General features: G+C 36.8%; 2 long non-coding RNA genes and 1 pseudogene across 4 annotated transcripts in view; 2 read left to right on the top strand and 1 right to left on the bottom strand.

The window, feature by feature from the left end:
* Positions 1–6,715, bottom strand: part of LOC107985705 (uncharacterized) — a 32,916-nt gene extending 26,201 nt beyond the window's left edge. Inside the window, exon 1 of the long non-coding RNA XR_007068335.1 lies at positions 6,549–6,715. This is a non-coding gene — a long non-coding RNA (uncharacterized LOC107985705). The remainder of the gene's footprint in view (positions 1–6,548) is intronic.
* LOC102723546 (uncharacterized) overlaps positions 1–20,867 on the top strand; it is a 40,882-nt gene extending 20,015 nt beyond the window's left edge. For 2 of the 3 annotated variants that reach the window (XR_001755966.2, XR_938589.3), the window contains 3 exons: positions 12,988–13,088; positions 13,591–13,672; positions 17,114–20,867. This is a non-coding gene — a long non-coding RNA (uncharacterized LOC102723546). The remainder of the gene's footprint in view (positions 1–12,987; positions 13,089–13,590; positions 13,673–17,113) is intronic. The other variant, XR_938590.3, reaches the window with a different exon arrangement.
* On the top strand, positions 4,584–4,708 carry LOC124905286 (uncharacterized; annotated as a pseudogene).

The raw sequence follows: 21,836 nt of genomic DNA, 5'->3' as shown, positions 1-21,836 counted from the left end.
TATATGCACCCAATACAGGAGCACCCAGATTCATAAAGCAAGTCCTGAGTGACCTACAAAGAGACTTAGACTCCCACACATTATTAATGGGAGACTTTAACACCCCACTGTCAACATTAGACAGATCAATGAGACAGAAAGTTAACAAGGATACCCAGGAATTGAACTCAGCTCTGCACCAAGCAGACCTAATAGACATCTACAGAACTCTCCACCCCAAATCAACAGAATATACATTTTTTTCAGCACCACACCACACCTATTCCAAAATTGACCACATACTTGGAAGTAAAGCTCTCCTCAGCAAATGTAAAAGAGCAGAAATTATAACAAACTGTCTCTCAGACCACAGTGCAATCAAACTAGAACTCAGGATTAAGAATCTCACTCAAAACTGCTCAACTACGTGGAAACTGAATAACCTACTCCTGATTGACTACTGGGTACATAATGAAATGAAGGCAGAAATAAAGATCTTCTTTGAAACCAACGAGAACAAAGACACAACATACCAGAATCTCTGGGACGCATTCAAAGCAGTGTGTAGAGGGAAATTTATAGCACTAAATGCCCACAAGAGAAAGCAGGAAAGATCCAAAATTGACACCCTAACATCACAATTAAAAGAACTAGAAAAGCAAGAGCAAACACATTCAAAAGCTAGCAGAAGGCAAGAAATAACTAAAATCAGAGCAGAACTGAAGGAAATAGAGACACAAAAAACCCTTCAAAAAATTAATGAAACCAGGAGCTGGTTTTTTGAAAGGATCAACAAATTGATAGACTGTTAGCAAGACTAATAAAGAAAAAAAGAGAGAAGAATCAAATAGACGCAATAAAAAATGATAAAGGGGATATCACCACTGATCCCACAGAAATACAAACTACCATCAGAGAATACTACAAACACCTCTACACAAATAAACTAGAAAATCTAGAAGAAATGGATAAATTCCTCGACACATACACTCTCCCAAGACTAAACCAGGAAGAAGTTGAATCTCTGAATAGACCAATAACAGGATCTGAAATTGTGGCAATAATCAATAGCTTACCAACCAAAAAGAGTCCAGGACCAGATGGATTCACAGCCGAATTCTATCAGAGGTGCAAGGAGGAACTGGTACCATTCCTTCTGAAACTATTCCAATCAATAGAAAAAGAGGGAATCCTCCCTAACTCATTTTCTGAGGCCAGCATCATCCTGATACCAAAGCCGGGCAGAGACATAACCAAAAAAGAGAATTTTAGACCAATATCCTTGATGAACATTGATGCAAAAATCCTCAATAAAATACTGGCAAACCAAATCCAGCAGCCCATCAAAAAGCTTATCCACCATGGTCAAGTGGGCTTCATCCCTGGGATGCAAGGCTGGTTCAATATACGCAAATCAATAAATGTAATCCAGCATATAAACAGAACCAAAGACAAAAACCACATGATTATCTCAATAGATGCAGAAAAGGCCTTTGACAAAATTCAACAACGCTTCATGCTAAAAACTCTCAATAAATTGGGTATTGATGGGACATATTTCAAAATAATGAGAGCTATCTATGACAAACCCACAGCCAATATCATACTGAATGGGCAAAAACTGGAAGCATTCCCTTTGCAAACTGGCACAAGACAGGGATGCCCTCTCTCCACAGTCCTATTCAACATAGTGTTGGAAGTTCTGGCCAGGGCAATTAGGCAGGAGAAGGAAATAAAGGGTATTCAATTAGGAAAAGAGGAAGTCAAATTGTCCCTGTTTGCAGACGACATGATTGTATATCTAGAAAACCCCATTGTCTCAGTCCAAAATCTCCTTAAGCTGATAAGCAACTTCAGCAAAGTCTCAGGATACAAAATCAATGTACAAAAATCACAAGCATTCTTATACACCAACAACAGACAAACAGAGAGCCAAATCATGAGTGAACTCCCATTCACAATTGCTTCAAAGAGAATAAAATACCTAGGAATCCAACTTACAAGGGATGTGAAGGACCTCTTCAAGGAGAACTACAAACCACTGCTCAAGGAAATAAAAGAGGATACAAACAAATGGAAGAATATTCCATGCTCATGGGTAGGAAGAATCAATATCGTGAAAATGGCCATACTGCCCAAGGTAATTTACAGATTCAATGCCATCCCCATCAAGCTACCAATGACTTTCTTCACAGAATTGGAAAAAACTACTTTAAAGTTCATATGGAACCAAAAAAGATCCCGCATCGCCAAGTCAATCCTCAGCCAAAAGAACAAAGCTGGAGGCATCACGCTACCTGACTTCAAACTATACTACAAGCCTACAGTAACCAAAACAGCATGGTACTGGTACCAAAACAGAGATATAGATCGATGGAACAGAACAGAGCCCTCAGAAATAATACCATACATCTACAACCATCTGGTCTTTGACAAACCTGAGAGAAACAAGCAATGGGGAAAGGATTCCCTATTTAATAAATGGTGCTGGGAAAACTGGCTAGCCATATGTAGAAAGCTGAAACTGGATCCCTTCCTTACACCTTATACAAAAATCAATTCAAGATGGATTAAAGACTTAAATGTTAGACCTAAAACCATAAACACCCTAGAAGAAAACCTAGGCACTACCATTCAGGACATAGGCACGGGCAAGGACTTCATGTCTAAAACACCAAAAGCAATGGCAACAAAAGCCAAAATTGACAAATGGGATCTAATTAAACTAAAGAGCTTCTGCACAGCAAAAGAAACTACCATCAGAGTGAACAGGCAACCTACAAAATGGGAGAAAATTTTTGCAACCTACTCATCTGACAAAGGGCTAATATCCAGAATCTACAATGAACTCAAACAAATTTACAAGAAAAAAACAAACAACCCCATCAAAAAGTGGGCGAAGGACATGAACAGACACTTCTCAAAAGAAGACATTTATGCAGCCAAAAAACACATGAAAAAATGCTCACCATCACTGGCCATCAGAGAAATGCAAATCAAAACCACAATGAGATACCATCTCACACCAGTTAGAATGGCAATCATTAATAAGTCAGGAAACAACAGGTGCTGGAGAGGATGTGGAGAAGTAGGAACACTTTTACACTGTTGGTGGGACTGTAACCTAGTTCAACCATTGTGGAAGTCAGTGTGGCGATTCCTCAGGGATCTAGAACTAGAAATACCATTTGACCCAGCCATCCCATTACTGGGTATATACCCAAAGGACTATAAATCATGCTGCTATAAAGACACATGCACACGTATGTTTATTGTGGCATTATTCACAATAGCAAAGACTTGGAACCAACCCAAATGTCCAACAATGATGGACTGGATTAAGAAAATGTGGCACATATATACCATGGAATACTATGCAGCCATAAAAAATGATGAGTTCATGTCCTTTGTAGGGACATGGATGAAATTGGAAATCATCATTCTCAGTAAACTATCGCAAGAACAAAAAACCAAACACCGCATATTCTCACTCATAGGTGGGAATTGAACAATGAGAACACATGGACACAGGAAGGGGAACATCACACTGTGGGGACTGTTGTGGGGTGGGGGGAGGGGGGAGGGATAGCATTGGGAGATATACCTAATGCTAGATGACGAGTTAGTGGGTGCAGCGCACCAGCATGGCACATGTATACGTATGTAACTAACCTGCACATTGTGCACATGTACCCTAAAACTTAAAGTATAACAATAATAAATAAAAAACATTAAAAAAAAAAGAAATGTCCAGATACAATTGTGGACTTGACTATTTCTCCTTTCTATTCTATAGTTTTTGCTGCACACATTTTGTATCTCTGTTATTTGGTGTATATAGATGTAATATTGTTACATTTTTCTTGTGAATTGACAGTTTTATCATTATGCAATGTCCGTCTCTGTCACTGGTAATTTTCTTTGCTCTGAGGCTATATTAACATAGCTTCTCCTGATTTCTTTTGATTAATCTTTGCATGGCTTAATATTTTCTGTCCTTTTGCTTGCAACCTACCTATACTACTACAGGAGAAGTGAGTGTCTTTTAAACAGCATGTAATTGAGGATTTAAAAAAACACGCTAGTACTTTGGGAGGCTGAGGAAGGTGGATAACTCAAGGCTAGGAGTTCGAGAGCAGCCTGGCCAACATGGTGAAACCCCATCTCTACTAAAAATACAAAAAAAAAAAAAAATTAGCCAGATGTGGTGGCATGTATTTGTAATCCCAGCTGCTCAGGAGGATGAGGCAGCAGAATCACTTGAACCCAGGAGGCAGAGGTTGCAGTGAGCTGAGATCAGGCCACCACACTCCAGCCTGGGTGACAGAGTGAGACTCCATCTGAATAAAATAAAATAAAATAAAATAAAATATAATAAAATAAAATAAAAATCCACTAGCAAATCTCTTTTAATTAGTGTATTTATACAATTTATGTTGAATGTAATTATTGCTATGTTAGGGCTTAATTACGCTATTTTACTGTTGGTTTTCTGTTCTCTCTGTGTTTTGTTTCTCTATTTTCTTTTTACTGTCTTCCTTTGTGTTTATTTAACTTTTTACTCTTTTTTTAGAATTCAATTTTTATTTATCTGTAGTATTTTTATCCCTTCTTGGCCTTTTGGCTAAGATCAAGTGTAGTATCTATAGTGTTTCTGAGTGTATCTCTTTGTATAACTTCCTCACTAGTTGCATTAGTTATTACATTATATATACATAACTTACGTAATTATACTTGTGCCAGTATTTTACCTGTTCAAGTGATGTATAGAAAATTTACCTCTGTTCACATATTTTGATCCTCCTCCATATAATATATAATTGTTTTAAATGTTTTCTACACCACAAACACATTTGAGAGTGTTCAATTATATTTATCCGTATATTCCCTCTTTTTATTCTTTCTTCCTTCCTGATAGTCCAAGATTTAAAAAAATCATTTCTATTCTTTTTAGAGAACTTCTTTAGCCATTCTTTAGGGTAGGTCTGGTAAAAAAAAAAAAATCTCTTAGGTTTTCTTTATTTGAGAAGGTATTGATTTCTCTTTCTTTCTTGAAGGATGTTTTTACTATATATAGATTATTGAGCTGACAGTTCTTTTCTTTCAGCACTTGAAAAATATTGTGCCACTTTCTTGCACCTTCAGTAGTTTCTAATGAGGAACTCCCTTTAGTTCTAATTGGTATTCCCCTCTAGATAAGGTGTCATTTTTCTCTAGTGGCTTTTTAATTTTTTTCTTTGACTTTAGTTTCCTGAAGTTTAATTATGATGTGCACCTTTGAATTTATCTTGTTTCGGGTGTGCTCAACTTCTTGAATCTGTTGGTTTGTGTCTTCTGCCACATTTGGGAAATTCTTTTAAAATTTTTATTATATATTATATAATTTACAGAAAGGGATGGGGTCTCACTATGTTGATCAGGCTCATCTCAAACTCCAGGCCTCAATTGATCCTCCTGCAAAGTCTCCCAATGTGCTGGAATTACAGGTATCAGCCACTACATTGGGCCCAAATTTGGGAAATTCTTGGCCATTATATATTCAGTCTTTTTCCTTTTTACCTAAAACTTCAAACTTTTAAAGTTTTCCCCACTCTTCTGAGATTCTAATGACCAGAATGCTAGTTATTTTTTTTATAGTGCCGTATGTCCCTGGACTCTTTTCATTTTTCCCCTGTTATTCAAAGTGATTAATTTCTATTGTTCTATATTCAAGTTTAATGATTTCTTCCTCAGTCCTGTCTATTCTGCTGCTGAGCCCATTAACTCTTAAAATCAGCTATTGTATTGTTCATTTCTAATATATCCATGAGCTGTTTCTTATATCTTTAATTTTTGCTGAGAATTTCTATTCCTTTGATGAGACTTTCTACTTTTTTATTTGTTTCGTGTGTTTGTAATTTTGTGTTGAAACATTATTATAATGTATGATGATAAGTCCCTATAAGATAATTATATATCTGTCGACATTGGATTGGTATCTGTTGATTTGATTGTCTTACTTTTTGCAAGTTGAGATTTTTCTAGTTCTTGGTATAATTTTTTGTTGAAATCTGGATATTTCAGTTGTTATGATATTCTTGATTTTATTTAAATTTTACGTTTTAACTGACTTCCTCTGACATCTGCTAGGTTAGGGTGGAAGTTCAGGTTTTCATTTGGTCTTTATTGGCATAGGGTAGTATGTAGAAGAGATCCTCATTACTACTCCCTATGTGGCCAATATTATCATTATGTCTCATTATTGCCAACAGTGGTGGAAGTCTCTACTTCCCACTGGCCTATGACATCACCCTGACAAGGATGTCAGGGCACCTTGTTTTAGTGCGGGGAAGGTGCAAGTCTAAGTTCTTCATTTGGTCTTTGCTCCAGGAGTGGGAATGGGTCAAACATTTTCTGTGGTTTGTGGTCAGAGAGTGCTTATTGTCTAAAAGTTTTCTTTTTTAGCTAGAGAGAATAGGCTTTTCTTACCACTTCTTTCTTTGGTAGTGGCCTTTGATGATTTTATATTTACAGTGTCTTTGTTACCTGGATTGGAAATAAGAAGCAAAAAGAATACTCAAGGAACTCACCACAATGCCATTCCTTGGTCCTGAGGTCTCTATCTTGTCTGCCTTTTTCTTTTCACCTTTCTGTCTTCTTGTGGTTGTTTCATATATAATCTCCAGGGATTTTATCTGTACTTTGCAGGAGAAATAGGAAACAATACATACATTCCATTTTTCCAGAAGAAGTTCATACATATTTGAATAATTAATTTATCTGTCTTGTCTTTTATGGCTTCTGGGTTTGTATCATACTTAGAAAGTTCTCCACTCTGGAATTGAAGACAAGATACCCCATGTTGGCTTCTAGTACTTTGTTTTCATTTTTAACTCACACCTTTGATCCACTTCAAATTTATTTTGGCGTATGGAGTGAGATTGGGAGCCAACTTTATTTTTTCCATTGGAAAATCCATTTGTCTCAGCAACATTTGTTGATAAAGCCATCTATTATTTTTCTTACTTAAGTGCCGTCTTTTTCATATACCAAATTCTAACATGACTTGGGTTTCTTTTTGGCTCTCTATTTCGTCTCATTGATCTCATGAACCAGTGTCGTTGAGATTTGCTTTACCTTTACCTTATTATACATGAAATGTTGTATTTCATTATTGTTTCATTATTTTTTTTTTGGTAGAAAGGCCTTGGTTGTGTTCTTCAGGTTTTTTCCAGAGAAATTTTTAAATAAGCTTGATTAATTTTTTTTAAAATGTTACCTGTTTTAATAGGATCACATTAATATTATAATTAAATTTTAAGTATATCTTTCCATTTACTTAAATGTAGTTTTATGACACAACCTGATGTTTTAAATATTTTTCATGTGGGCCCTGCACATTTCTCAGTAGCTTTATTCCTAGAGTTCATTTTTTTGGTGTTTGCTATTACAGTTGCAACTGTAAATGTAATGTCTTTTTTCATGACATCTAAAAAATGTATTTATATAGCAACACATGCATTTTTAAATTTTTATCTTTATGTCATCCATCTTACTAATTTCTGCTATCCTTTAAAGAACTAAGTATACCAGCCTGGGCAACATAGCAAGACCCTATCTCCACAAAAAAAAATTAAAAAAAATTAGCCAATTGTAGCGGTATGCGCCTGTGGTCCCAGCTACTCGGGAGGCTGAGGTGGGAGAATCACTTGAGCCTGAGGGGTCAAGGCTGCAATGAGCTGTGATTGCACCACTGCACTCCAGCTTGATTGACAGAGTGAGAGCCTGTCTAAAAAAAAGAAAGAACTAAATATATATATAAGCCTATATCTTACATAAATAAACTATACATTTTGATTAATTTCTTATTTTTTTTGTTCTTTGGAGACAAGGTTTCATTCTGTCACCCAGGCTGGAGTGCAGTGGCACGGTCATGTCTCACTGCAGCCTTGAACTCTTAAGCTCCAGTGAGTGATCCTTTGGCCTCAGCCTCCAAAGTAAAGTAGCTGGGACTATAGGCACCCAACTAATTTTTTATATTTTTTAAGAGATGGGGTCCTGAGTTTCTGGTATTTCAAGCATTAGCCACTGCATTCAGCTTATTTGGATTAATTTTGAATGATATTAAAATCTTAATATTAAAATGATAATCACCTTTTGTGCTAGGAAAATATTTATAGTAATCATTTTTTCTACTTACAGTATATTTATTTCAATGATTTTCTTAGGTCTAAATTACAACGTTGTGTGGTGGGGCTTTTTATATAATTTATTTTGAAATATTGCAACCTTATTAAAAATTGAAAAAACTAAAAAATTCACATATTATTTTACTCATATTAGACAATTGCTAGCATTTTAGCATATTTGCTCTCTCTTTTTCCCCCTCTCTCTCCACACACACACACACACACACAAACACACAACCCTTTTAAAATGAGTACTACTGCTCTTTAAAAAACAAACAAACAAAACCACTACTCACTTAAAAATATTCTTTTTAAAAACTAATTGAATTGAGAGCAAGGTTCAGACATTATGCCCAACTGCCCCAAAATATGCCACTGTGTGCTTCTCAAAAGCAAGGACATTATCTTTCATAGTCACAAATAGAAATATCCAAATCAGCAAATAAACATTGATACAGCACTATGACCCAACCCAAAGACTTTATTCAAATTTTTCCAAGTATCCCAACCATGTCTCTTTCTATTCTGTGGTCCAGGATCCAATCCAGAGTCACGTGTTACATTTAATTTTCATGTATTTTTAGTCTCCTAAAGTCTGGAACATTTCCTCAGTCTTTCTTGACTTTCATGATCTTGACAGTATAAAGAGTACATGTCTTTCATTTTGTATGATGTCCCTCAACCCTTGTTTATTTGGTAACTACTCCTGTCCAAACTCAGGTCATGTATTCCTGGCAAGAAGACTGTAGTAATAATGCCATACTGTAAGCAGAGTAATGCATCAAGGGGGGTATTATGGCAACTCTGTTCCACCAGTGATGATGATAATGTTCATTACCTGGGCAAGGTGGTGTCTGCCATGTTTCCCCAACAAGGAGTCACATTTTTTCTCCTTGTAATTGTTATGTATTTTGTAAGAAGATCCTCTGAGTCTATTCTACTATTCTGTTCTTCAAACACCCACTCACCTGCCTTAGCATTCATTGATGATCGCTGCCTAAATCAACCACTACTATGGTCATTCTTAAGTGGTCATGTTTATCTTTATATCATTCCTTCTACATTCATTAGTTAACATTCTACTCTAAGGAAGTTTCACGTCCTCATTTTCTTTTTATTTCTTTCATTTTGAAATTTTGATATGGACTCATGGATGGATTCCTATATTATTCACTTGATTGTTATCCTTTACTAACATTATTTATTTTGACACTAAAATTATCCTATATTTGGATATAGGAGCTAGTGAGAGACCTTTCAGACCTGCTCCAGTGTTCTTTACACACATCCCTATCATTCTTTGATCTCCTCCTTACTTTCAAAAACAACAACATGTTCCAGGATCATGTACTTTCCCTGCTCCAGTTCTAGAATCAATCATTTTACAAGGATCCCTGAGTCCTTTTAGAGGGGGTGATATTTAGAACCCAAGATCTGTTCACTTAGTGGCCTCTAACAGACATAGGAAATATGTGTTTGTATATGTGTGTGAGTACACAACACATTCACACTGCACACATATCTATATTTCTCTGTGTGTGTGAGTGTGTATGTGTATGTGTGTAAAGCATGAGTACATATCGATAGCTCCAATTAAAATCCCAAACACCAGGAATCTTTCTAGCCTTTTCCCTCCCTACATTTGTAAATCACTTTCTGACAGCGAGAAAGCTAGCTCCTATTATTCTCAATATATTTACTAATATGTTCAATACTCTTGTATATAATCAATCTCCTGACTACATTAGTGACCTCCTCAGCTAATGGACCTATTGCCATTTCCTCAGCCTGTTGCCTCCTCACTTTGCCACCTTCTAAATCTATTACACCACCAACTCCAAGAGAAGAGGAAGGAAAAAGAAGAGAATTTTCTTACTGTTTTTAATGATTTACATGTATTTCTTCTGTTGCTTTAAGGTAAACAATTATATCATCTATGAAAAATGAAAATTTTAACTACTTTCCAATGTTGATGGCATTTTTAGAAATCCTTATCTATTTGTACTAGGAAATGCCCCCAAATAATGTTAAATAATAGAGATGATAGTGGATATCCTTGCCTTATTTCAGACTTTAATAGTAATACTTCTGGTATCTCGCCATTTAGCAGGTTGCTAGTATTTTCCTTCCTCACTTTCTGTTTCTTTTTCAATCTTTCTCAGTTTATTTTGTCTTGTTAGTAATAGCTTCCATTTACTAATCAAGCATGACCATTTAATTTCATAAAATAAATACTGTTGTTTATGGAAATGATTATACATTTTTTCCATGTTTAATTGTGTTAATGGATTTCCTAATATTGAAATCTCTTTGACTTTCTGGTATAAAACCCACTTTCTTGGTGTATTTTTCTTTTAATTAGTTGATGGGTTCTATTTGCTAATATCTAATTTGGTACTTTTGCATTAGTGTTAATAATTGAGAATTGGGCATAGTTTTGTCAGTTTTTGGTATCTGTTTGGAAGCTTTTCTTCTTTCTCTATGCTCTGAAACAGATTAAATAGCATTAAAGTACTCTGTTCCTTTAAAATCGAATAGAATTGAAGACTTGTAGTTTCAGCTCCAATATTTAAAGAGCTTGAAAGTCATCACTTCCTAATAGACTTAAAATTTTTCCCAGTAATAACAGTAACAATGTATTGGGTGATTTTAGCATATTTCTATACACTAGTATTGAATGATTCAAAGAGGAAATTAAGAAAACAATTTCATTTACGATAGCATCAAAAAGAATAAAATACTTAGGAATAAATTTAACCAAGAAAACACAAGACTTGCCTGCTGAAAACTACATAACACTGCTGAAATAAATTAAAGAAGACCTAAATAAATGGGAGACACCTGGTTCAAGAATTGGCCGACTACATATTGTTAACAATACTACCTAAAAAAAATATAGTTTTAATGCCGTCTCAAACCTAATCTCAATGCCCTGTTATTGTTTTGTTTTATTTTTGCAGAAATGGAGAAGCTGATTCTAAAATTAATATGGGATTGCAAGGGTGACAAAATAGCCAAAACAATCTTGAGAAAGAAAACAAAGTTGGAACATTCATACTACCTGATTTTACAACTTACTTAAAGTTACAGTAATCAAAAGGGTGTGGTATTGGCCTAAGGACAAAAATATAGACCAATGGAAGAGAATTGAGAGCACAGAAATAAACACTCACATCTATATCAATTTATATTTGACAAGGGTTTCAAGACCATTGAATGGAAATAGAACAATTGTCTTCAACAAAAAGTGCTGGAAAACTGAAATATTCACATGCAAAAGAATGAGGTTTGACCCTTAACTTTAATCTCATAACAACATTAACTCAAAATGAACCAAAGACCTAAATTTAAGAGCTAAAACTGTAAAACTTTTAGAAGCAAATGGGGAAATCTGCATGACCTGGGATTTGTCAATGGTTTCTTTTAGTATCCTCCAGTAAAAGGAATCAGGACTCCTTGAAGAAATTGCTGATTCTAGGACCAAGGCAGGAATTATATAAAATGAGACTGAAGCATCTTGCAGTGTCAGAAAATAGGAAAGTGCTTTTAAAAATCCCTAAAAAAATGGGTATATGTCAAGGGGACATGGGAGCCAACTAAAAGAGCTCTGAATGGGTAAAACCAGAATATTTTTTGCTGTTGTTGAATCAATAACCAATACCACACGTTAGTTTGTTAATGAAACATCCCCAAGGGTCTTTCATTGGAAGGGATCTTCCTCCCTGTTTTAGGCCTTTGTACATTTTTAATTCCACATGTGTTACAGATTTATCAATTTCTGCCTTTCACTGTACTCACATAATTTATGTTTCCTTTTAAATTAATTAACTTTTAATTGACAAATAAAAACTGTACATATTTGTTATATACAACATTATGTTTTGAAATACGTATAAATTGTGGAATGACTAAATTGAACTAATTAACGTATATACTATCTCACATACTTATCATTATTTTGTGGTGAGAACACTCAAAATCTACAGTCCCAGTGACTTTCAAGAATCTGGTACTTGTTATTGACTATAGTTAACATGCTGTACAATAGATCTCTTGAACTAATTCCTCCTGTTAACTGGAATTTTGTATCATTTTACCAACATTTCTCTAACCCACTCCTTCCCCAAGAAACAATTTGGGCCTGGTGCTTTCAGGGGAGAATTTGTCTTCAACAATTTTCTCAATTTCTTATTTGGTAATTGGTTTGATTATATTGTCTATGTGTTCTGGGAGTCAGTTTGGTACTTTCTATTGTCAAAAAGTTGAAAATTCCAGGTTTTCAAGCTTGTTTGTTAGAAGTACAATAGGATTTTGAGACATGCAAGCAGCATCAGTCCCATAAGCTCCCAACTCAATACCTGGACCTTTTCCTGCTCCTCCAGCTAGGACAACTAAATCCCCCATCTGCAAGCTCTGCCTCAGTTTCTCCACTCCAGACTTGCTTTTCTCTCTAGTCCCCTCATTATAAGTTGGTCTTATGGTATGGAGTCCCCAAGTCCCTATATTAACTTCCTATCAACATCCCCTCCTTCCTTAGCAATATATCAGTACCCGGGACTGAGCTGGGTTTTTCTGTCTTCTGCTGGATTTGCTTTCCTAGACCTTGCAGAACTGGAGCTCCAAACAGACACCCGCACCCTCAATGCTACCTAATTTTATTATCCAGAGCAAATTCATGCCCTACTCTGGTTTCAACATGTTTGCTAGACCTCCTCTTTGCCACCTGTTTTATTTGCTACCAGGGAACCATCCTTTGGAGCCTTCTCCATGTCCCTCCAATTGTAAGTGGCACCCACCGGAGTTATGAAACATGGCAGTCACCGTCCGTTTCCTTTTTCAGGAATCCTTTCTGGCACTCAAGAGTTTTCAATTCAATCCTGATGAATGAATCATTATTTGATACCAGCCTAAGTGAAGACTCTGCCTGGTGACTTTTGCAAGGTAAAAGGGAGAATTATTTTCATTCACAAATTTCTCCCCTATTTCCTCCTTTGAAATGAATTTTTGATTCCAGCCTTCCATACTAGGTAGGGGTTTCTTGGGGCTTACTTGCACAAATTTTCCCTTCAACAGAAGGTGCCTTAAAGCAACTAGCAACAGCGAAGAGCAATTTAAGAAAATACTGCTAAAGCACAGAAGCTAAAGCAGATTGATTTTAGTTTCCAAGCTGCCCTCAGCAGCTGACCACCAATATATCTGCCTGTTCAGGGATGCTTGAAGGGATTTAGCATTTTGTTTGGGCTTTTGTAGCAAGAATTCTGAGATCATTGCCTTAATAGAAGACACACACCCAGGGGAGCAACTACAAACTGCTTTAGCAAAAGAATCTCTACGAACTGTTTTCTGAAAGAGAGAGCATCACTTTCAAAGGACAGTACTTTTACAACAGAAAACTTTGCAAATGTTTTAAACAGTTCTTTTTTAAATGTTACCAATCCCCCAGGTGGTTTCTGGCTGCAACATGGGAAGATTTGGGATCAGTGAGATGGAAGAGATTTTTCTGGCTACTAGCGTTCCTAAGAAAGGTGATGGGGGTTGAAATAGCTGCCTGGTGGGTGGTGGGTTCTATATTCTATAAAAAGTGGGGAGGGCTGGCCAGGCAGGTGTTAGATAAGCATGTACTGGGGTTTTGTGAAGGGGATTCCTGCTCCAGGTAACCATTTGTATTGATTGGTTTTTGGGAGCCCTTTAAAAGCACACAATTCTTGTTTTTTGTTTTTTTTTTTTTGAGATGGAATTTCAGTCTGTCTCCCAGGCTGCTGGGCTTGCTGCAACCTCTGCCTCCTGGGTTCAAGCGATTCTCCTGCCTCAGCCTCCTGAGTAGCTGGGATTACAGGCATGCGCCACCATGCCCAGCTAATTTTTGTATTTTTAGTAGAGACGAGGTTTCGCCATGTTGGCCAGGCTGGCCTCGAATCCCTGACCTCAGGTGGTCCACCCACCTCAGCCTCCCAAACAATTTTTGCTTTTATGTTACATGAATTCAAAAGGAGGAGAAAATCAATGAGGGCTGACAACACTGGGAAACTTCTTAGAGGAGGTGGAAATGGAAATGCTGGGACAAAATCCAGTCTGGAGTCTTGTCTGCCGATTTGCTGAATCAAAACAAACTGTAGGGATTTCATTAAGATACAGATTCCCAAGCCTTTACTCCTTCATTCTCTAACCTTTGTAATCTAGGAGGAATCTAAAAGATTCACTCTGAAATCTGTGTAGTCACTAGAAGCTTGGTTCCTTGATAGAAAACCTGGGACACAGCACGAAGGCCCCAGGTGCTCATTGGCTATCCCAGAGATGAGTTGGAGGTGGAGTCTTGGCATGAGCAGCAAACTGTGGGGCAAAGGAGAGTGATGTGGAGGTGGGGAATAGTGGATGGGTAAACATCTGTGCCTCAAGTGGAGCTGCATCTATCCACAATAGAATAAAAGGCTTGTGAATTTTGGGGAGTATTTTTAGGGTCTTGTTACCCAAATATCGGTGCAACAGCTCCACATGCAAGCCAGTGAGCTTGATGAAACCTGCCCACAAGATGTGCTATCAAACTTGCTTTTCTCTGAATCACAGATGGCTTGATTCACCAGAACATTTTAGGCTCAGCACTTGCTGCCATATCTCTGGCATTGATGGGTGTGGTTGCTCTACTAATTCCTAGGGCAGGGCAGCGCTGATTAGGGTTTGCCAGACTTGTAGACCTGTATTTTGGCCTACCTGTTGCTTTCATAGCTTTGGATGCTCAGAGTGGAAGGTGCTTAACTAAGTAGGCATTTGGATATGTGAGTCTAAAGCCAAGAAGATTTCAGTGTCGCTCTGGTGAAGTTGGATAATCTCCTTATAGAATTATTGCATGAAAAGACAAGGGTACCAGGTTGCTGCTGAATTTTATTGTGTCCTCTTGTCCTTCTGGTCAGAACCTCCCTGGAATTTTCTTCCTCACCCTTTCATGGCCTTCTGTCATGCAGAAGGGAGGTTTTGAGTTCGTATACAGATCTCTCAACAGCATGAGTCAGTAGAGACAGAGTTAATCCCACCTGCCCTGGTCTCTAAATATTATTTCATATGCTTCCTGTAGGCTTGGTGCTCTCACCTCCTGCTGTTAATCAGAAGTTTTATTATTGCCTCGCTTAGCCAATCTGCAAAGCACTCACTCCCTCTTCCCCAGACACGCGTCAGTGTCTCTAGCCCAGGGCTTCTCACGAAGCTGGTGCTCAGCTGTTGAATAAAGTCATGACTTCAGTGCTGCAGTGACCACTTGTAAAGGCCATGTTTTCGTTTTCTCAGAAAAACAAACTGCAATTTAGGTACACTATCACTAGGTGGAACTAGTCTGTTAGAGCAACTTATGTCCAAGTTTGAGCTCTGGCTATGTTGCAGATAAATAAGTGCACTGTTCAGACTTTTTCTAGAATCATAAATAAGTCCCTTTATTAAAACTGTTGAACTCCAATTTAGACAGCAGAGTAGATAATTCTTTTAAATGCAACGAGCACCCCAGGTAGAGTCTGTTACCTTTCTTTATTGATCTCTTCATTTCCCTTCATCATTTCAACTGGAATCTTAACTTAGCATCAAGAGTCTCTTCGGTACTTTTCATTCAGCCTTGGAGCTACTTTGACGTCAAAGCCCCTCAGATGCGTATCTCTCAATGCTAGCAAAGCCTGAAGTGTAGGTCTCAGTCACAGGCAGTCTATTCACCTTGCCTCGACTGTTTGAGCTAATTATAGAGAACAACCTCTTTGCCCACTAAGGAAGAGAAATAGGCTTCACAGAGGTGTGATGGTGCTGAAAGTGTACAAGCTACCCCCTCCCTTGGTCACTTTTCTTCAAATCAGAAAATATACTTTCTTACTTGACACCTTCTAGATTCCCTCCTCCCATCAGCTCTCTGAACTCGCTGGGGGCTGCTGGCTTAATTTCCACAATAGCTGCAGTTAATTAGTATCCCAGGGTAACTGACTTCCCTTAGCAACAGAAGTAACAATGGCTTCGGCTCACAAATTACCTTAGCTATGGTTTTCTTCCGCTGGTAAAACATATTTAATACTCAAACACAGGTTTTGAACAGCAAATTAATGTGATGTCTACTCATCAACAAATATTTATTAAGCTCCTACTGTGTGCAAGTCAGAGAACTAACCACTGAGTATAGAGAGTTGAATTTGCTATGGTCCTTTCTCGTGAGGAACCAAAAAATGAATTGGGAAAAGAAGATATGAAATCAAGTAAGTCTACGACATGATAGCATTAAATGCAGGGCTTGGTTTGAAGACTTGGAAGTTGTCTGAGGAGAGTGAAGGTCTTTGGGGCTGGGTGAGGTGAGTCTTGAACTTGACAGCCCAACTCTGGAGTCTGACAGATTTTAATTCAAATCCTAACTTTGGCACTAGCTGTGTGATCTTCAGCAAGTTACTTAAACTTTATGAGCTTCAGTTTCCTATAAACAGGGAAGACTAAAGTTCATTTCAAAAGGCTTATGTGAGGGTTAAAAATTACATAAAACACCTAGCATATTGCTGTGTCAATAATTACCCCTTTCATCATTGGTAACTCAGTGTCAAAGGAGGCTCGATAGGCTTTATCTAGGTGAAGGAGAAGGGGATAGAGTTTGCATTTGAAGGTAGTGCCAAGAGCAACTGAGACAGGCTAGGAAGGAAAGGCAGAAAAATTAGCTTACACCGAGAGGCTGGGAGTAGTAGGGACATTGTATTGGAAAGGTAGCTGAGATTTTGTCACAAGAACTCTCAGTTAAAATGTCAAAGCTGGAAGGGACCTTTAAAAATAATCTGATGGTCCAAGCTTTTCATTTGACTGATGACACGACTTTCCTTTCATGGATCCTAAGTTTCCTCCTAAGATTTCTCTTTTAATTGTGAAGTAGAGTTTTACTTTTAAATTAAATGTAAAAGTTAATATTCATCTTCTCCATATTATTCATGGTTTTAAACTTCCCTCACGTTTCCTCTCAACAGAGCTTTAGTGTTTATCCAGCTATTGGTATGCAGACAACTATACCCTTATGAGAAACACTAGCAGAGAAGAAGAGTTCTTGACTGGGTCTGGGCCATGAAACTGACCGGATAAAAGTGGGAGAAGAAGAGATGTTGAAGGAGGAGTTTGCTGTTTTCTCAGTCTCCTGAGAAATTCCAGGTTTGGATGCTTCCTAAGGCCATTCCCACTCTCCTCTATCTAAACCAGAGAGAACGATTGCTTGTCCTTATCACATTATCCTTGCTTTCACTGTAAATGATGATAAATAATAATCTCTACACTTGCATTTGCATACAGCACTGCGTGCTTTTTCAAAGAACACTCAAGTCTGTTCTCACATTTGATTCTCACACCAGGCTTGGAGATATTTGAGGCATCTCCTCCCCCCAAACTCAGTTGGACAGATCAGAAAAATGAGGTCCAGCAAACTGAAATGACTTGCTCCAGAACTCACAGACAATTAATGACTAGAACCCAGGTCTTCTAACTTCCTACCAATTATTGTGAGGAGAGCCCATAAAGGAGAAAAGGACAAGGGATGATCTATGGAACATTCAAACTCCTGTCTCTAGTTGCCTTTTTCTGGTTGTTTCTTGGATATCACGCACTCTCATCAGCAGCCTTCCTACTCTTACAGATTATCAACACCTGTCCCAAAATCCTGGGGCCAGCCATGGTGCTTGGGCTTTTTTTCCCACATCTAACCATTCCGCAGCATATAACAAATCCTTGACAAATTTCCAGTGGAAAAAAATAGCAGAAACCATACACCCTCCATCTGTGAATTGATGTGGCCAAGAACAGGCTTATTTCAAAGGGTGCACCATAGAATAGTCGTAAGACTCAACCCCTCCAAGACTAGCTGGTGCTTATCCCGCCCATAGGCAGTTAAAAGGACTTTATTTGCATCTTATTCTTTCCAACAGAAAGGCAAACATTATTATTACAATTCAGTAAATTTCCATAAGGAACCCCATTGATACATGTTGTATATTTTGGGTTCTTTTGTTTCATACTGAGCATACCAACATTATATCAATATTATATTTATCTAGCATTCTCCCATATTCATAGAAATAGAGAACTCATCAGCCTTTAAAAAGAACTCAAATGCACACAAAATTTCACCCTCTAGAAAAGCATCAATGAAAATGATTTTGCAAATATATATACTTTTCAATATGTAAGTATCTACAAAAAAATTGATAATAATTAAATACCTGTAAAGTGCCATGCACTTTACCTGTATATCTCATTTAATTCTCACAACAACCCTGTGAAGTAAGAATTACTACGCCCATTTTATAGATGAACTAGCTAGGAGTCAAAGACATTGAGCCACTTGCCACACATTTACAGCACGGAGCTACAAAGATCTGGGACTTGAATCCAGATTTTCTAACTCCAGAGCCAAAGCTTTTCTTAATATGCCACAGGAGCAAGCACAGGAGCTTGCTCCAAAAGTCAAGTTAATTTTTAGGAAAGAATTAGGTAAGCAAATATTCATGAATTAGAGAATGTCTTTAATTTCAGATCCAAATCACTTGGTCACTTAAAAATAAAAGACAATAAATCATAAGGGATTCTACTTGACTTATTATCTAAAGTGATTAATAAGAATGACATTTCCCCACCAACCCCAAATGAAAAAATCAATTTGGGAAGTTTCCCAATAATTTAAACTTGAAACACTAATCTGAAAAAGAAAATCTATATATCAAAAGTCTTCATAGTATGGCACAAATAAAACAGAATCTTAATTTCCAATTTCTATTAAACTGATTTTTCTTTTAAACTGGAGCCAGAAAGCCAAAAAGCCTTCAAATCAATTGAGCCTCTTGCATTTTATTTAAGAGGTTTCATTTTTCAAACCAAAGCTGGGAAGACAAAACAAGCTTATTTAATTCACACCCCAGAATTGTAATTTCTCTGTTCAAGCCAATGTCTAAGTGCCTGTATTAAGGGCTTCCCACTGACCATAATGTGTTAATTCATCATTGCACACAATTTTCCTTTGTACTTTTAAGCTACTCTTCATTTTCCCCTTGGTTAGGGTTGCCTATACAACAGAGGACACCCAGTAAAACATAAATTTCAGATAAACAACAAATAGTCTTTACATAAGCATGCCCCCTGCAATAATTGAGACATACTTATACCCCCAAAATTATTTATCTGAAATTCACATTTAACTAGACATCCTGTATTTTTATTTGCTAAATCTGGCAACCCTATTCTTGATCCATTGTGGGTATTCCCAGGACTTCACCTCTAAACTATTATATTTTTCAAATACATTATTTGTATGTTTTGTGGTGTGTATGTGTGTGTGTGTGCACGCGCGCGTGCCTCTCAGAATGGAGGTTCTGGAGCATCTCTCACTCTTGAGACCACAGCCATCTATCACTTTGGTTATCAATGTGTCCTCTATCGTATATATAATTATGTATTATGTTATATATATATATATATACATAATTTAGTGTGAAACTAGCCAGGACCATTTTGAAAACGAAAAGTCAGTGGTGGGAGGTGGGAAGGAGTGTGTTGGGAGAAACTTTACCCACCACGTATTAAAAGGTATTATAAATCTATACTGATTAAAACAGTTTGGTTCTAGTATGTGAGTAGATAAATTAACACCACAGAATAGAGATTACCCAATTCTTTACCCCAAAATAAGTTCTAGAAATATAAAGGAGTCAAATGGAAAATGCAATTGTAAAGACACCAAGAGAAAGCATGGAATAATTATATGTAGTCTTGAAGTGAAAATGATTTTTCTAAGGAAGATGCAAAATCCAGGAAGTAAAAAGAAAAATTTCATAAATCTAGCTACATATAATTTTCAAAACTTTTTTCATGTAGAAAATATAATAAATGCAGTCAAAAAGCAATTTAGGGGAACATCTTCAATTTATCTCACTCAGGGTGGACTAAGTTATTTAATATGTAAAAATCTCTTGCAAATCAATAGAAAAAAAGCAAAATCATGAATAGAAAAATGAGTAAAGGCTATAAATGGACATTTCACTGAAAAACAGCCATACAAGTTAATAAACACACAGAAAAAGAGGCTTAACCTCACTGATGATTAAGGCAATGCAAGTTAAAGCAATAATGAAACATCATTTCCCTTCATTATATTGAAAAAGATTAAAAGCTAGATAATGTGTAGTATTGATGGGGATAGAGAGATGGGCATTTCATAACTTGTAGATGAGATTATAAATTGGTGCAACGTCTTTGGAGGGCACGATTTTGCAGTATCTTTTAATATGAAAAATGTATTTATCCTTGACTAAGTAATTCCCATTCTAGAAATGTATATTATGAAAATACTTGCACAGTATGCAAATGTATACAAGTATAAGGGTGTCCATTGCAGTATTATTTGTGTTAATGAAAAATGGGACTAAGGCAAATGTCTATTATAAGAGATAGGATAAAAAATTTAGTGCATATTCATATATTGAAATAATATTGTCAATTAAAAAATAAAACTGATCCACATGTGTGGAAATAAAATTATTTCCCAATTTAATTTGTTGAAATTTTTAAAAGACTCACAATGGTGTGCAGGTGAATGCCCTTTTTTAATAAGGAAAGATGCATATATGTACATATGTTTGTATGTGCAGAAGTAGACTGGCTTTTTTATATCCTTTTGTACTCTGAAGCTTTCTGTATGAATTGCATGTATTACTTTTTCAATAAAAAACCTAATCTATAAAAGATACCTACTTGGGGTCTTTTTTTTAAGCTTGCTGAACTCATCTCTGATTTCTTCTCTTGTTCTTATCTCAAGATCTATTTCCCAGTTATCACTGTTGCGACAGTGGGGCCCCGCAGGGAGCTGATGATAACTGGTGGCTTGCTCCCTTTCATAACACATCCCAGCAATCAGCAATTCAATTTCCTTGTACCAGAAAGGCCCTCAGTTGATGTTCGCATCCAAGAATGTAACTTCCTCCAACCCGAAAATCTTAGGGGGAAGAATATATCCCTCCAACAGTGAAGTTTAGGACATTTTGCACTTCTTCGATGGTAGCAAACTCCCACACCCACAGTTCTTGGGTTCTTTTCTGACTTTCCAGCAGATGCCACTCTCCTCAGTGCCTTTCTCCATGTTCTTATCCCTTTCTAGAATGCCCTCCCTTGCCTAGTTGGTGCTTCAAATTTTACCCATCTCTTAAGACTCAAGTCAAGTCTCACTTTTCTTCCAAGTTGACTTTCATGATTACTTCAACCTTATTCAAACACCGTTTTTTTCTTTCTCTTTCTGTCTTATTTTCATAAAAATATATTAGACATTCTAAATAATACTTTCATTACAACATTTTTCTTACATGTAACTAACACAACACAGGAATTAAGCATATGATGTTATACAAATAACACTGGTTTTAGAGTCAAACGGGTGCAAATTTTTTTCCAACTCTTACAGACCTTTAGGCAAATTGATTAAATCTTCTGCATCTCAATTTCTACATGTTGAAAGTGTGGATAACATCATCTACCGTATAGGGCTATTATAGATACTAAATGTAAAGTGACTTGCACCATACCTCATACATTATAGATGAACAACTCTTAACCTAGGAGTGCCCCCTTCTCTGATCCAACCCCTTTACTATTATTGAGAAAAGAACAACAAAAACTTGTAGTTAATAAAGCCCAGAATGAAACATAATGTGCATATTG

The sequence above is a fragment of the Homo sapiens genome, chromosome X (assembly GCF_000001405.40).
Source record: "Homo sapiens chromosome X, GRCh38.p14 Primary Assembly".
Taxonomy (NCBI): Eukaryota; Metazoa; Chordata; class Mammalia; order Primates; family Hominidae; genus Homo; species Homo sapiens.
Note: the sequence above shows the minus strand (reverse complement) of the source record. Positions and strands in the feature narration are given on the sequence as shown.